The following is an 18,371-nucleotide window of genomic DNA, read 5'->3' as shown; positions in this document are numbered from 1 at the left end:
CTCTCAGTCCAGGCTAAAGGCATGGGGACCTGTAGGTTACTGAGGCCAAGTCCTGAATTCCAAGGGCTGTAGAAACTGAAGTTCTGATGTCTAAGGGTGGGAGAAGAGTGCTCTAGCTCCAGGAGAGAGAATGAATTTGTCTTTTCTCTGCCTTTTTGTTCTATTGGGGGCGCCAGCTAAATGGATGTTACCTGCCCATGTTGAGGGCAGATCTTCCCCACTCATTCTATTAACTCACATGCCAGTCTTCTCTGGAAACACTCACAAAGACACACCTAGGAATAATGCTTTAGCAGCTACCTGTGTATTCCGTAATCCAGTCAAGGTGACACCTAAAATTAACTATCACATATGTGGATATATGTGTATATACGTAAAGATGAATTGCAAGGAATTGGCTCGCATGCTTCTGTGGCCAGGCACATTACAGAATCTACAGCTGATTCAGGAAGCTGGAGGCTCCAAAGAGCCAGTGATATGGTTCCTATCCAAAAGCTGGCAGGCTTGAGACAGAAAGTTTCAGTTTGTGCCTCAAGGCAGTTAAATACCCAAAATATTGGTTTCAACAAAGTCTAATATGAAAAATTCTCTTTTTCTTGGGGAAGGATAAGCCTTTTGGCTCTATTCAAGCCTTCAATTGATTGAATGAGGCCTACCCACATTAGGGAGGACAATCTGATTTATTCATTCTACTGATTCAAATGCTAAACTCGCCCCAAAACACCCTCACAAAAACACCCTGCATAATGTTTGATCAAACAGTCTGAAAGGCCTATGGCCCAATGAAGTTGACAGATAAAATTAACTATCACAACTAACACAGTGACTGTGTTCTGTGAGATCTTGCAAGCAAACTCCTTGCACCATATCTTTCTGTCACCTGTAGAATAAGCATCTTATTCTGAAAGCCAAAGCTGTGGGTAGGTCTCCAGACATTGCATAACATTCTACTGAGTATGACGCAAAAGGAAGGAAGAAAAAAGGTAAAGGATCTTTGCCAGCTATCTTTCAGGAAATGCTTTTAGAGGGTGCAATGCAGCCTTTCAAGCTATCTTTCAGGAAATGCTTTTAGAGAGTGCAATGCAGCCTTTCAACACACAACTTTTGAGGATGCTAGGAAGCTCTTGTTCCTATATCAACAGTTCATACCCTTTCTCAACTTGGGGGCACTATCATTTTAGTCAACATCCACTTCATATTTATGAAGTGATCCAATATGACAGGCACAAATTTTAGGAGTCAATAGTTAGCAGTAAAATACAGAAAAAGGAAAAACAAAATCAAACAAAAATCCCCACAATCCTAACGCTTACATTTCTAATGGAGTAAGACCAACAATATGCAACATATATCAGTAAAATGTGTTCCTAGTTGTCATGATTGTCACTGCTCCATAAGTTCACAGAGAGTTCCAATAGACAGTAATAGGGTCGTCAGGTTAGGTCTCATTTTGAAAGTGTCATATGTGTAAAATCTGAAGGAAATGAAGAAGAAACTATTCAGATTTTCTTGGAGGATAAGAGAAAACATAATTGCAAGTGCAAATGGTCTGAGGCTGGAGAAGGTCTAGCAAGTTCAGTAATAGCAAGAAGAAAATAATCTAGGAGGCAAGACAATGAATGGCCTCATGGGAGACTAGGCTTTTACTCTGAGTGAGATTGGAAGCTACTGGAGGACTTAGGAAAAGGAGTGGCATTATATGACTCACTTGTTAACAGAAAAACTCTGGCTATTGTGTTGAGAGTAGACCAGAAGTAAGCAAAGGCAATAAAAAGGAAAATGGCAATCCATTCCTTTTATTCACCCAAATCCAAATTTGTTTTTATTGTTGTTTTTACACCTATAGAAGAGTCTCACCTCTCCCCAAGAGAGATGACTGACAGTCACATCTGGTTGCTGCTTTTAAGGAATAGCCCAGGAAAACTGGGTGATACACAGCTTTTCAAGCTCCAGAAACATATAAAAGTTACCAGCACACAACATACTCAACACACAGTGCTGGAATATGAACCTGTGGCCCATTCAGAATTGGAAAAAGTGAAAAACACAGAGAAGTCTTTTGCCTACAGAATTATTATTTTTCCACTTCTTTTGTAGAGTATAGGAATTTTTCCTTTATGGAAATAAATTCTTCAGTTAGTAATTATGGCCATGTCTGGTTCTGCTCTCTGGAAATAATTCAGTTTTTGATATCTTCTGTGACCTATCTATGCCTTAGCCATACCCTTCAAGTCCTCATCTGAGAAAAAATATTTCTTGAGGCATACACAGCTTTCTATGCCTACTTTTTGTTGGTGCAGTTTGAGGGTACCTGGAGTTGCTTTAGGATTAGAAAAGTTGCAATGTTTGCAGGCCAGATTTTAACTTGTAGTATTTTTTGCATAAAATTCCCTGAAAATCTATTAAGCTTTAGTGAGTCCTCGTTATTATCATTTTATCTAGATATAGGTTTTATTGTAAAGACTCTAGTCTTTCAATTACTTGTCATGGTGCTGTTACTGTTCTCACTATCTATCTCTCATTTTTATTATTTAAAGCAATGGTCATGGCTCGTGGTCACCAGCAATGCTGGCAAATGCCTTCGTACAGCATGACACCGTACTTACCTTCTGCTGTGTTGATTGCTCTGAAGGTACTGCTGGTGAATGTTTGCAAGTCTCCATAGTCTTGTGATTTCCATCTTTCTACACTTCAGATCCCTGGAAGATACCTTCTGACTCAGGAAATCCAGATGCAGAAGAAGTTGGGAGTGTCTTCTGAGAAAAAGAAAAGTGGGGAGATTTCAAGATAATATCCATCCTAAACTGAGAAAGTGTGCTCCCTTCTCTCATGGGGCCCAGAGAATATGGCAGTTAGATTTCAAACTTTAGTCCATTCAGACTGCTACAAAAGGATCTCATCCATTGTGTGGCTTAAGCAACAAACATTTATTTTTCACAATTCTCAAGCCTGGAAGTCCAAAATCAAGCTGCCAGCATGGCTCTCCTCCAAGTTCCAGACTCTTAACTCTATGCTGAGTCCTGGCAAGGGGGAAAGGGGGAGGGAGCTTTAAATAACTGTGAGGTGTTTTTTGTTTTTGTAAGAGCACTAATTCCATATATGAGAGGTGAATATGTGTCATAGGATTTGTATTCATATGACACATATTCACCTTCCAAATGTCCTATCTCCTAATACCATCAAATTGGGTGTTGGGATTTAAACATACAAATTGTGGGGGACACAAATATTGAGTCTATAGCATTCCATCCTGACCCCTCAAAATTTATGTTCTTCTCACATACAAAATGCATTCTTTACATCCAAGCAGCCTCAAAAGTATAAACTGTTTCCAGCAGCAACTCTAGAGTCTAAATATCAAAATCTCTGAATATCCTCTAAATCAGGTGATATTTGAGACTAAATACATTTCAACCTGAGGAAAATTGCTCTCCAACTGAGATCCTGTGGAACCAAACAAGTTATATCCTTCCAAAATACAATAATGGGTTAGGAATAAGATAGATACTTCTATTGCAAAAGGGAGAAACAGGAAAGAAGAAAGGGATAAAATATTTCAAATAAGTTCAAATTGAAAAGCATTCTCCATGAGTAACACTTTTTGGTTTGAGGCTCTGCCTTTCAGGTCCACTGGGGAAGGTCCCATCCCATAGCTTTGGGTCAAGACCATCTGGCTTGTTGAATGCAATGCAATGGTCCCCCTTCTGAAACTGAGGAAGTATCCCTGATAATCTCTGAATCAACTTTGGGGTTATTCTTCCCCTGTAATGAAAAATAGCACATATTCACAGTCAAATAGCTCCATATCTTATTCTATAAAATCCATGAAATCTAACAGACTTCATTCATTCCTTCTCAACTCCTTCCTCTGCGTTCAAACTGACACTTTTCCTGCTGGGGTTGCTGATTAAATCTGTGGCTGAGCCTATACTAATCTCTGTATCAAATGGACACCAGGACACACCCTAAGTATTTTCATTTTTAAAATATGAATAGGCTAAGAATTTTCCAAATCTTTCAATTCTTTTTTTTTTTTTTTTTTTTTTTTTGAGACACAGTCTTCTTCTGTCGCCCAGGCTGGAGTGCAGTGGCACAATCTCGGCTCACTGCAATCTCAGCTGGGCTCTGCCACCACACCAGGCTAATTTTTTTTTTTTTCTATTTTTAGTAGAGACAGTGTTTTGCCATTTTGGCAAGGCTGGTCTCGACTACCTGACCTCAGGTGATCCAACTGCCCACCTCAGCCTCCCAAAGTGCTGCCCACCTCAGCCTCCCAAACTACCTGAGGTTGGGTAGTTCATAGATTTACTGCCCATATTTCTACCAACATTCTAATAATCGCTACTTAGGAATTCTATAAAGAGATTGAGGGTTTCTTTAAAAGTCTTCTCCTTTCTTTCTGGGTTCTTACCAAAATCAGCTATAATGGTCCATTCGTAGCAATATAGGATTGTTTAAGCATGCACCTTTTATTAGTCATGGTTCTCCAGAGGAACAGAATTAATAGGTTATAGATGATGATGATAAGAAGTAGATAAGAAGTTATTTATTATGGGAATTGGCTCACATGATTATGGAGATTGAAAAGTCCCATAATATGCCACCTGCAACCTGGAGAAACACAGAAGCTGGTGGCATAGCTTAGTTCAAGTCCTAAGGCCTGAGAGCTAGAGAAGCCAATGGTGTAACTTTCAGTCTGAAGCCAAACACCTAAGGCGGGGTTGGGGGAGTTAGGGGAATGCCAGTGAAAATTCTGCAGTTCAAAAGCTGGAGAACCTGGAGTTCTGATGTCAAAGAAAGAGAAGATGCATGTCCCAGCTTCAAAATAGGGAAGAAATTTGGCTTTCCTATGCTTTTTGGTTCTATCCAGATCCACAATCAATTGGATGACATCTGGCCACATTGGATGGAGTTGGATCTTCTTTAATCAATTCACTGATTCAAATGTCAAACTTTTCTGGAAACCCCCTTGAAGACATCCCCAGAAATAATGCTAGCTATCTGGGTATCCCTTAACCCAATCAAGCTGATATCTAAAATCAACCACTCCACACCTTAGAACTCTTTTAGTCTCTACCCTTTACACAGTTCCAAAGCCATTTTCACATATTTAAGTGTTACAAGAGCATTCCATTTATGGTACCAATTTCTGTCTTAGTCCATTTTGGCTGCTACAGCAGAATGTTCTAGACTAGGTGGATTAAACAACAAAACTGTATTCTTCACAGTTCCCAAGCCTGGAAGTCCAGGATCAGGGTGCCAGCATGGTTGAGTTCTAGTGAGAGCCCTCTTCTGTGTTGCAGACTGTTGACTCCTAACTGCATCCTCAGAATGTGGGCCATGGCAGAAGGTGAGAGAGCTCTCTGGGATCTCTTTTGTAAGAGGTTCCACCCTCATGACCTAATTGTCTCCCAACGGTCTTGTTTCCTAATACCATATAATTACCTTGAGGGTTAGGATTTCACATATAAATTTGGGGGTGACACAAAGTTTTACTCTGTAGTAGTCAATAAAAAATAGTGATGCAACATTTTTCTGTGCAATTACTTATACAGAACATAAAAGTTTGTCTCGTATAGACCAGAATCAAAACTTGAAAAATAATAACTCCTTTAAGTGATGCCATGAATACCATTCCATTCTCTGAAATTTAGCTGGAAATTAGAAGAGCCTGATTTTAGATTAAGATATTCTAATTCTCAACTTCCTGGAGCTAAGGTATTTCAGTAATGTGCATTCTGAGTAGGAAGGGAAGGAAAAATGTTATTCTAAAAGCAATCTCAGTATTAGAAAGAGGGGAGAGTTATTAAACATTTAAAATGGTGAGGAGATTTGGCAAAGTCTCTGATGCCTACATTGAATGTTACAATACCTTGCTTAATGAGTGAAAAACAGAAATGTAACTAATATTGAGTGCCTACTCCATTCTTTGTGTTTTACACGTCCCACCCATTTAATCCTCACATCAACTATAAAAAAAATAGGTATTACCATCATCCTCATTTATAGGTGAGGAGACTAAAGCAGTAAAAGATTAAATGACTAGAAAAAATATTTACTGAAAATACCTTAGTCACTTGGGTAATAAGTGGCTTAGCCAGGCTTTTAACTCAGCCTGACTGACTTTTATTAGTAACATAGGAAGTTTTAAGCACTATTTAAAATATTGCTGAGTAGCAATTATCCCCAAGAAACTATGCATCTTTAGCTAATTCAGGTCCTGGTGACTGGCAATGTTATTTAGCTTATAAAAATATATGTTCAAATATTTCAAATTAAAATGATTGTGCTTTCCATGTAACACGAGGTTCCTGTTAAGTCATAAAATTATTGTCATCTTTCAAATCTCTGAGCTGTAGCACATTCCTCTCTAGATAACTTTAAAGGGGAAGCAAAAAGCATTCATAATAAAATAGTCATAAGTTGTGTAAGCAGCACTCACCTGCCTGTGCATTTGTCTTTACGTGTGTGTCTCTAACACACGAATCTAATTCCATACAAGCCTTCGGAGCAGAAAGCAAACTTTTTTCCTCTTCAGACTTGAACCTTCTAGTAGATACTGTCTTAGTCAGTTTGGGCTGCCATAACAAAATTCCAAAGACTGGGGGGCTTAAACGACAGAAATTGATTTCTTACAGTTTCAAGACCAAGGTGCTGACAAGGCAGCTTTCATTCTGAAGCTGCTTCTCTTGGCTTGTAGGCAGCTGGCTGCCAACTCCCTCTATGCTCACAGGACCTCAAGTTATTTTTGTGCTTCTGGAAGGAGAGAAAGTGCAAGCTCACAGGTCCCTTCTTAAATACTAATCTCATTATCCAACTTCATGACCTCATTTAAGCCTAGTTACCTTCCAAAAACCTCATCTCCAAACACCATCACATTGGAAGTTAGTTAAGGCTTCAACATATGAATTGGGTAGAAGATTGTACAATTCATTCTATGGGCAGGTATGTTAGGGAAAATGCTTTGCAGTTATTATAAATGCACCCCGGCTGTAAGAACAATTGAGAAAAAATAAATAAGAATGTGCATATGCCATAAAATCAATGTACAAAATAGCCAGCATATAGAGAAAGCCGGGGAAAGAGTTCAGAACAAAGCAATGTGCAGGTTAGAGAAATGCAATAAAACCTAGCAGGATGAAATTTAACAAAGATAAAAGTAAACTCCTGTATGGATTGAACTCCAAAGCTTCCAATGTACAAATACATGTGGGAAGAAAATTGACTAAGAAGCAGAACATTAAAAGAAAGAGTTCAAGGATTTAGTCTACAGTAAGCTAAACATAAAAGCAATTTGATATGGTCTTCAAAGTTAGTGCGATAGCAAACTTTGTTTAGAAATAAGCATATTCAAAACTAAACCCTTTTCTAAAGCTTGTGCTTCTTTCTGTATTTTATACCTTGATTAATGAAACCATTATTTACCCTCTTTGACAACAAGAAACCCAAAGTCCTGACATAAGTCTTTATGATTCTTATACCAATGCTTTCTAACCCCTGTTGTGTTTCAAAATCACTTCTACAGCTTTATAAAAATACAGCCATTTGAACCCCAAAACACTAAGATTTTGTAAGGCCTGACATTTTGCAATTTGGGGGGCTGGATCATGTTTTTATTCCTCAAGAAAAATAATGCAAAATTGTAATTACAAAGCTGGTATGAAAGCAAATATGAGTATTTACTTATATATAATTTTATAATTGTTATTATTATTTTTTAGAGATGGTCTCGCTCTGTCGCCCAGGCTGGAGTACAGTGGCACAATCATGGTTGACTGCAGCCTCAATCTCCTGGGCTCAAGCAATCCTCTCACTTCAGCCTACTGAGTAGCCGGGACTGTAAGCATTTCGTACCCTGCCTGGCTATTTAAAAAAATTTTTTTTTTGTAGAGATGAGATCTGGCTATGTTGCCAGTGCTGGTCTCCAACTTCTGGCCTCAAGCAATTCTCCGTCCTCTGCTTCCCAAACTGCTGAGATCACAGGCATCAGCCACCATACTCAGCCAAAATATGTATTTAGAATGAGAAAAAAAAATCACGATGACAAATATTTAAAAATACACAAATATCAAAAATCAGAAAATAACACAATACTTTTTATTAATTATCTAGCTACTACAAACCTGTAACAATTTCTCTAATTAATTTTTGGCAACATGCTATCTTATTATCTATAATAGTAATTTTGTACAATTTTTTTTCTAGAGGAAATGAATCTCTAATTCATCATTCTTCCTCACATGGTTAATACAATTTTTGCTATTAATTTCATTTTGGAAAAAAATTGTTCTGCTTACATGCATTTCTAGTACTGTTCATTAATTTGGAAAATAGCCTATTAATTTTATTTTATATGTAAAAATATAAAAGAAAGTTCATGACAACTTTTCTTGAGTTTTGACTAAGTTTAGAAATTCTTTGAGTTGATAACATTTGTTCACCAATTTATTCTCCATATCTATGTGGAGTGGCATATAATGAGTTTTATGTGTTTCTCCTCTGTATTAGCCTGTTCTCACTCTGCTAATAAAGATATACCCAAGACTGGGTAATTTATAAAGGAAAGAGGTTTAATGGAGCCACAGTTCCACATGGCTGTGGAGGCCTAACAATCATGACGGAAGGCAAACAGAAGCAAAGGCATGTCTTACAGGGCAACAGGCAAGAGAGCTTGTGTAGGGGAACTCCCATTTATAAAACCATCAGATCTCATGAGACTTATTCACTACCATGAGAACAGTATAGGGGAAACCACCCCTATGATTCAATGATCTTCACCTGCCTCCACCCTTCACTCATGGGGATTATTACAACTCAAGGTAAGATTTGAGTAGGGACGCAGCCAAACTATATCATCATCCTTATCAGTACTTCATGACACATCAACAAGAAATGTTAATCTTCACCTAATATGACATTATCTTTTGTCAATCATATTTTCGAACAACCTAAGAAGCTATTAATCCTCATTAAATTGATTTGAAATTGATATAATGGGAAATTATATGTCACATCTACGTCTAAATGTTGAATAATTTTTGTTGATTTACTATAGGAATAATTCAGCTTGTATATACTTTGAAGATGTTTATGTTGTCTTGTCAAGTAGATTCTTAAGAGGTGGATGTTTCCATTTTGACTATTTGTCCATGGAAATATATTTCTCTGCTTGCAATTTTACAACTCTGATAAATGGAATAATATTTTCCACAGACTGGTTTCTGGATCCACATATTTTTAACTTTGCACCTCCTCCATTACTTATATTCTTCAAATGCCAGGAACCAAATTCACATAAGAAAACAACTCTGGGGCTGGGCGTGGTGGCTCATGCCTGTAATCCCAGCACTTTGGGAGGCCGAGGAGGGCGGATCATGAGGTCAGGAGGTGGAGACCATCCTGGCTAACACGGTGAAACCCCGTCTCTACTAAAAATACAAAAAATTAGCCAGGTGTGGTGGCACGTGCCTGTAGTCCCAGCTACTTGAGAGGGTGAAGCAGGAGAATCGCTGGAACCCAGGAGGCGGAGGTTGCAGTGAGCTGAGATGGCGCCACTGTACTCCAGCCTGGGTGACAGAACAAGGCTCCACCTTCGAAAAAAAAAAAAAAGAAAAAAAGAAAGAAAAGAAAACAACTCTGCCCTTGCAACTTTGTGTCATAATGCCAGTGACCTGCAGTGAATAATTGTTCTTGAAAATTAATCCTACACTAAGACAGCTAGAAATCCTACACTAAGAAAGCTGGCTATACAGGGAAATTACTGGTATTACAGAAATATCTTCTGCCAAACTCAAACATCTACTACTTCAATCCGCAGGCAAAAGTAGCTAAAATGAAAGACAGTAAAAGCAATGCTTATGGATGTTTTCAAGCAACAGAAATATTCATTAAAGTTAAAGATATAATTTTTCATACAGTTCCTTACACTATCTGATGTGTGGTGATGTTCTTTTGATAAATGACATTAAGAGTGACCTTTTATTTAAGATTAAATAAGATGAACAATGTACTTAGACAGAATATATTTGCTATGTCAACAAAATAATAATGATCATAATAAAAAGTAATAATAGTCATCATTGGTAGTGTGCTTATCGGGCACTATTTCATCCTTTTATATATTAACTAATTTAAACATCACAATAACCACATCTACTATTATTGTTCTCATGAGAAAAGTGAGGTACATAGAGACTAGAAACCTTGTCTGAGGCAACACAACCAGTGAATGGCAGAGCCACGATTTGGCCCCAGACATCTTTGCACCACAGTCCTTTATGACACTATACCTTAAAGTCCATCCCACAATTATATAGCAAGACAAATGTTGTTTTATCTATGTTGAAGATGTTGACTAACTACCTTCTTGCTTATGGACTTCATCCCTTCCACTAAGAGCAAGCTATGTTGATTGATGAGCTTTTGTGTCATCAATATCTAGATACTTTCCATTTTTGACTCTCAACAGAGCCATGCTTTAATCATAGGAATATATTTTGCTGATTTGCTAATTTCTTATTTTAAAAACAACTTAGAGAATTTATTTAGAAAGTAGAAAATAAAAAGTATGACTCTAACATCTATTTGGAATATGAAAAAAATTAGAAAGAGTTAAACTATGCAAAAAAAGGCAGAGATACTGAAGTTAGCTTAACAGCTATCCAATACAAACAAGAAAAACCCAAGTTCCTCTCATGCAAATAAGCATTAAGGAAAAGAATATGGGAATGGTTACAGAATGCACCATGGCAAATATTTTTCAAATTTACATAAGAAACTGTACATAAATGAAAAAATAAATTAGGTAATTTACAAGAAATGTTTTACAGGTTGCAATAGGCTATAACTTCATTTGGGATTTTAATTCTCTTCAAATAATGTATGTTAGTAGATAGTTGCAGAAGTATCATTTCCAGTTTTATACATGTTCAACTGTACTGTCAGTCTAATCACTTACCCAAATAGATATATGTATTCATGTGTGTATGCATATATACACACAGACATACATGTAAGTATGTGTGTTCATGTAAGTGTGTATATACATATATATGAATATATATGAGTATATATATATGCATACACATGTACATTGTGTGCTAATTTGATTTAGCTTCCTGGCTTCCTATTTGCAGATTGGGATACATGTTTGTTTGATTTTCTTGGCAAGAGAGTTTAAAGCATTTAAATGATTTAAAAAGTAACGCAAATCTGGTGGACACTCAAAAATGATAAATAATAAGGACAATGAAAACTCTTGTGGTATAATCTATGATTTTTAGTTATGACATAATTACAAAATACTGTGCCAAGTAGCAGAACTAGCAGTAATATGCAAAGTTTCTTGTACATTATTTCTAATCTTTTCCAACATCCCTCACTAATGTTGATCTTGACATAAACATTCAATTATAAAATAACCCTGAATTATTAAGTATAAGCTTCTGAATTGACATAAAGCGATTTCCAATAATTATGTTCAATTTACAGTCCATCCCACTTGTACTTGAAAAATTCTAATTATTTCTTTTTCATAGCAGTAAACCTCTAGGCAAATGGCTGAATGTGTTGTTTATAGATATTTACAGACAGCAATTCACAAATTTCACACATATATATAATGTAGATGAATGCAACACAATAAATTATATTTGCACTTAAAAATGTACTAAAAATCTATGAACAACACACAATATCTATCTATATTGGTATCTATATCTATATAGTATTGTGTCACATGAAGTAGCCTCTGATGCTTTAAAAATGTTATCTTAATTGGTTCTTTTACTCTTCCTTTGATTTTTGTACTGTTAATAGTATGACTCTGAGTTTTGATTAAGAAAACTAAGGCCAGAGAGATTAATACTATGACTTGCCCAAAGTTACATAGCTAATAAATAATGGAGTATTTTCAAAGTTTATCACTATATATAGTGCCACTATAAGGAGAATGCCTAATTCAGAAAACTGGTTTTCATTTTTAATTTTATTTTTAATTCATTATATGGACATACTGAATGAGTAAAATTTAGAATTTTAAAAAATATTTTACTTGATAAATCACAGTTTTGAAAGGATGCATTAAAAGACGTATGTATATGTTAAAACATGTTTCTTTTGTTAAAAACATACATACAAACATCTTACTTATATAATTATAACTAAAAATTATAGTGAAGAAATAGTATTGGGTAAGTACTACATATGATACATAATAGTAAACAGACACACATATACAAAATATTTGGTTTCATTATCATCTTTAAAACTCATAAACATGTAAATGAGTTGGAATTTTGAAAAATTCTTCTTACAGTAAAGGTAATCAGGAAGTAGTGAGTAGTCAATAACCATTTTTTTTTCTTTTTGAGACAAGATATGGTTCTGTCCCCCAGCCTGGAGTGCAGCAGCACAATCTCAGCTCACTGCAACCTCTGCCTCCTGGGCTCAAGCGATCCTCCCACCTCAGCCTCCCAAGTAGCTGGGACCGCAGGCATGCACCACCAAGCCCAGCTACTTTTAGTATTTTTTTTAGAGATGGGGTTTTGCCATGTTGCCCAGACTAAATAACCATTTTTTAATTAATAAAATCAATAGAACTTTACATTACTATAAGTGCTTTTAATGGACACAGACAAACATCTAAAAAATCAACCAGTATTTTAGGGATCCAGCAATGGATTGTAGACTGTAAAAAATGAATCTGACTGTGTTACAAATGTATGGCATAAGTGCACCAAAAATGGGTAAAATGGATCTGGCTTTAGTAGCTGTAGATAACAGTATTTTGACTGAAAATTTTAAGGGTAATAACAAAAGTAACCGTGTATAGACACTGTATTCTAGGTGGTAAATGGTTTCTCCCTGGATGATGGCAGCCAAGATTCTCACAGTCAGAGAAGAAAGCCACAGATAATCAAAATGGCAAGAATGAACCCTATGGTACTAGACTAGAGTTGGAGACATCAGTGTGAACTTGTGTTTGTTTATTTATTTATTTATTTGAGATGGAGTCTCACTCTGTCTCCCAGGCTCGAGTGCAGTGGTGCGATCTCAGCTCACTGTAACCTCCGCCTCCCGGGTTCAAGCAATTCCCTGCCTCAGCCTCCCGAGTAGCTGGAATTATAGGTGCCTGCCACAATGCCCGGCTAATTAATTTTTTGTATTTTTAGTGGAGACCGGGTTTCACCATCACGGCCAGGTTGGTCTTGAACTTCTGACCTTGTGATCCACCCGCCTTGGCCTCCCAAAGTGCTGAGATTACAGGCATGAGCCACCGTTCCCAGCTGAACTTATGTATATTTAACATATATAGAGAGATACATGACATAATATCTTTAACAAGATAGTGACAGAAACAATTATAGATATGTTAATATACATAAATTAGAACATACTTTACCTAAAGTTCTGGCAGCTGAAAGAGCCTCGAAGCAATGACACCCCAGTAACAAGAAGCACACCCAGTGCCCAGATTTTGATTTTAAAATATGATGAGCCAGGAGAAGGACTAAGGACTCCTTTGAGAAATAGTCTGTTCTAGAGCTGATACAAAATGAACCTGGAGCAGCTTTTAGTACCATAACAAAAGGAAATGTTCAAGAAAACAACAGGATGAGGGCATGTCAAAGAGACAGAGAAGCTGAATTAGAGGAACTTCCAACGGTCAAAGCAAAGAAAATGTGAGCATCAACAACAAAAAAAACAGAATATTGAATTGTAACCCAAAATATGAAATAAATACAAATGTGTCCATTTTGATATTAGGTAAATATAAATGGGGCAATAGACAAATCTGTGCAAAATATTCTAAACTGTATATGTAGTAATTCCTTTTTCAGGAGATGGACCTTAGTTCCCACCTTCTTTAGAGAATGGACTGTATTTATGACTCATTTTAAAAGAATTGAATATAGCAAGGGAAAAGAGAAATTTTGCAGTGGAGAAACATGGCACACAGTACTTTAACCAAGTAAACAAGGTTAACATCACCAGGAGATACCGCATTTTCCCCTGATATGATGTAATGAAGAAGACACATTGCCTCAGTGTTATTCTTTCTGAAAACCCCATTAACTCCAGTCTAACTATGAGAAAAAAATAAGACACCCCAATTTGAGAGACATTCTGCAAAATACCTGACCAGTACCTCTTAAAACTGGCTAGGTCATGTAAAACACAGAGAGACTAAGAAATGCTCACAGACCAGGTGAGAGTTAGGAGACAGGATAACTAAATGCAATGTGCTACCCTGAACAGGATCCAAGAACAGAAAAGGGACATTGATAGAAAAACTGGTGAGAATGAAGAAAGTCTGAAGTTTAGTTAATAGTAATGTACTAATAATATTGGTTTATTTACCTTGACACTTGTCCTGTGGTAACATAAGTCAACATCAGAAGGGGAAACTAAAACTTAGTAGGGGTATTAGGAAACACTATATACTATCTTTGCAACTTTGCTATAAACATTAAAAAAAAATTCAAAGAAAAAATGTTTCTTTAAAAAATACATAATAACCACAATGCTGTTTAAGTTCTATAAGAATTTAGCTTTATTTATACCTCTCAAATGCCATTTTCCAAACTCAAAGATTGCATTTTGGAAACTTGTTCCTTCTTCCAGGGCTGAATTGGCTTAATAACAGGTTATGTTCCTTCAATATGGGAACGACATGACAGACAGCTGGATCTGTGGGTGGTGAGCCCATATACAGAGTTTGCCTTGTGTGTTGGGAACGCCTGCAGTGCTTGCTGCTGTGAAATCACCAGGGTCAACTGCCGGAATCTGACAGTAACGGGCCCTAGAGAGAATTGAAGTGACATGAAAATATCAGAAATTCAGAGAACAACAACATAAAAAGGAAGTTTCATCTTCACTGAATCACGCTGCCCAGTTAAGAAAGACATTATTATTCCTATACATGAGTAAGTTACTCATTTTTTTCTAGAATCTTTTTATTTATTATACTAGATATATTTTTCAGGTTGATGCTACAGGAATTGTTTTTGAACATCTATATGAGAAAAAAAGGCTGAGAACATTAAAAAATAAAAGTTTGTAAAATATAAAGCTTCCTAAATAAAGCACTGTTGGCTCTGAAGTTCCAGTGTTGCCATACTCTCCCTGCAATGGGGATCTGGTGGCTTCCACTCGCTTCCAGATCAAGTGCTAAATAATAGCATCTTCTCTTCTCCATGTCTCAACCATCAATGAAAGGCTTACTTGACCTAAATGATGCCCCATTTCCTCCTAAAAATGTTGCCTTCCATTTTAACCCACAAAATCCTAAAGTAAAAGGATAATTAGGAAAAATATATGTAAGTTCACAATTTCTTAACTGAAATATATGGGATCAGATTTGTTTCAGAATTTTGAATTTTTCTAATTTTAAAAAGATAATTAATTGGTTAGAATGTATATTACATAATATTTTGCCTGGGCAGAAAACAATATTCATGCGCATTAATGTTTCTGCAGTAAAATTTATGAACATTCATACTAAGTGGACTGACTAAAGACTTCAAGGGTTTTGGCAACAAATGTGCTCAGGTCTTTTTTTGGTTTTGCCATAATACAGACTTAAAGCCTTCTCAGTTTTCAGAACTTCTTTTCTGACTTCAGAATTGCTGGTAAAAGATTTGAACCTATATAAAGTGTTTCTGTTTCTTCTCATTCAAAAATTCATCTGTTTGAAATCTATGCTCAACTACAAGTACACAGAATCTCAACATTTCCTGTGGATCATTGGCATGCAGTTTTACAGAGCAGAATCCCACTTGGTGCCTGGATCTGAGAGTACCATCCAGTTTGTCATCTGGAAATCTCCAAAGCTCCCAGTTTGGGTGATAAATAACAGGATGACCACAGTGAAATGTTTTCTAAGAAAGTATTGTTCTACTGCAGCAACGCTTAGACAAGAAAGCAGAAAACAACAAATTTGGGATGCATGTTGCTTTGATTAAAAGCAATAATAAGTCATCATTATTTCATTAAAAATAAGTTTTAAATAATCATAATAATGTATCTAATTTAATCATCAAGTCATTTGCAAATACTTATACAGTATTCTACCTTCCCACTTCTGTCTCCAGTTCCTGCTCCCCAGGGGCAACCAATTAACATTTGGGGTGTTTTTTGGACAATTGGTTCTCTTCATTTTGCTAACAGATATTTCTTAAGTATCTACTGTGCACCACACAGTTTAACTGAGTAGTAAATAATAATGACGCGCACAGTTAATAGGCAAATTAGATAATAGGTTAGAGGGTAAAGTACCATGGGAAAAACAGAGCAACAGAGCAGGTACAGTTATTAGAAGTGCTGTGGGATAGAGGATGGTATGTAATTTAAAACAACGTATTCAGGGCAGGCCTCACTGGAAAACATGTGGTTGAGAAGAATTTTAGAGATGAAGGAGGTAGGCATGGAGATATTTATGAGACAGAGTTCTACTGAGCCAAAGGCCTGTTAAAATACCTGAAAGCTTAGGGAGCAATTTGTTATTTTATAGATTGTGCTTTTGGTGTTGTGGTGTTGTTTCCAAGATATCTTTGCCTAAGCTAAGCATGTGAAATTTTCTCCTAAGCTTTCTTCTGGAAGTTTTATAACTTAACATTTTAAATTTAGGTGTATTATCTATTTTAATTAATGTTTAAAAAATTAATTTTAAAATTAATTATTTTAAAATATATTTTTTGCGTATGAATATCTGATTGTCCCAGCACAATTTATTGGAAAGCCTATAATGTCTCCATTACCTTTGTGCCTTTGTAAAAATTAGTTTTCTATATACGTGTGGGTTTATTTCTAGATTTTTTATTCTGTTCTTATTTGTCCATCTTTGTGACAATAACATGATGCTTTAATGACCATAGCTCCCGCATGCATTTTAAATTTATGTATGTTGTACGCCATGAAATACCTTGTTATTATAATTACACACGTAATATATGCGTTATCATATCTTTAATTATATATGTATTATTATACATGTAATTATATATGCTATGTACATTATTATTGAATAAGAATATGCTATTATTTTGTGGAAACAGCCAGATAAACAGTCTCTTTTTCTTTCATAGAGACTTACATAATAAGGAAAAACAACCTTTACATGTACCCATATTGTAACATTTCTAGTGCTCTTCATTTCTTTGGATAGATCAGATATTTATCTGTTAACATTTTCATTCTATCATAAAGACTTCCTTTAACATTTCTTCTAGTGTGAGACTGTTGGTGATAAATTTTTTCAATTTTTATATATCTGAAAATGTCTTTATTACACCTTCATTTTTGAAAGATGTGTCTTCCTGTTATAAAATTCTAGGTTCATAGTTTAAAAAAAATTTTCTTTAAAGGTATTGCTCTACCAACTCCTTGCTTGTACTGTTTACAGCAAGAAATCTGGTGTCATTTCCATTTTTGTTCCTCTAAATGTAATATTTTTTCCTATGGCTGCTTTTAATAATTTATTTTTATTAATTATATTAAGAAATGTTATCATGATATATCATCGCTTAGTTTTCTTCATATTTCCTTGAGTTTTACTAAATATTATGATTTGACTGTGTTTCTGAAATTCTATGTGTTGGAAACTTAATCCCCAATGTGTCAGTATTAAAGCTGTGGTCTTTAATAGCCAGGTGTGGTGGTATGCACCTATAGTCCCAGCTACTGATGAGGCTAAGGTAGGAGAATCACTTGAGCGCAGGAGTTTGAGGATTCAGTGCACTCCAGCCCGGGTGACAGAGCAAGATCCTGTTTCAAAAAAAAAAAAAAAAAAGCTGGGGCCTTTAAGAGGTGATTGGATCACCTAATGATTGGATCATAAGGGCTCTGACATTATGAATGGATTAACCCATTCATAGATTAATGGATAGATTGGTCATCATGGGAGTGGAACCTGTGGCTTTTTAAGAAGAGGAAGAGAGAACAAAGTAAGCACGTTAGCACGCTCAGCCCTCTTGTCATGGCATGCTCTGCATCACCTCTAAACTCTGTAGAGACCCCACCAACAAGAAGGCCCTCACCAGATGCCTCCAGAATTGTAAGAAATAAATGCCTTTTTCTTTATAAATTACCCAGTTTTAGGTGTTCTGTAATAAACAATAGAAAACTGGACTAAGACACTGAGTATGTTAGATCTATTTGCTTATAGTTTTTATCAAGCTTGGAAATGTTCAGCCATTATTTCTTCAAATATCTTTTTAGTTCATCTTTTCCCCCTCTTTGTTGGGGATACAATTACTCATAAATCAGGCTGCTTGAAGTTGTTCCAGAGCCTGTAGTCTTTTCCTTGTTGTAGATTCTTCTTTTCCCCCTCTGTGTTTCATTTTTGGTAGTTTCTGTTGCTAGGCCTTAAA

At 36.1% G+C, this 18,371-nt stretch overlaps 1 long non-coding RNA gene across 1 annotated transcript in view; it reads right to left on the bottom strand.

The window, feature by feature from the left end:
• The window catches only part of LOC105377535 (uncharacterized), a 92,939-nt gene that overhangs the window by 47,124 nt on the left and 27,444 nt on the right, over positions 1-18,371 (bottom strand). The window contains exons 3-4 of the long non-coding RNA XR_939444.2: positions 14,565-14,803; positions 2,607-2,756 (exon numbers count right to left, since the gene is read on the bottom strand). This is a non-coding gene — a long non-coding RNA (uncharacterized LOC105377535). The remainder of the gene's footprint in view (positions 1-2,606; positions 2,757-14,564; positions 14,804-18,371) is intronic.

This window comes from Homo sapiens, chromosome 4, assembly GCF_000001405.40.
Source record: "Homo sapiens chromosome 4, GRCh38.p14 Primary Assembly".
Taxonomy (NCBI): domain Eukaryota; kingdom Metazoa; phylum Chordata; class Mammalia; order Primates; family Hominidae; genus Homo; species Homo sapiens.
The sequence above is the reverse complement of the archived record's forward strand: the minus strand, read 5'-3'. Positions and strand labels throughout refer to the sequence as shown.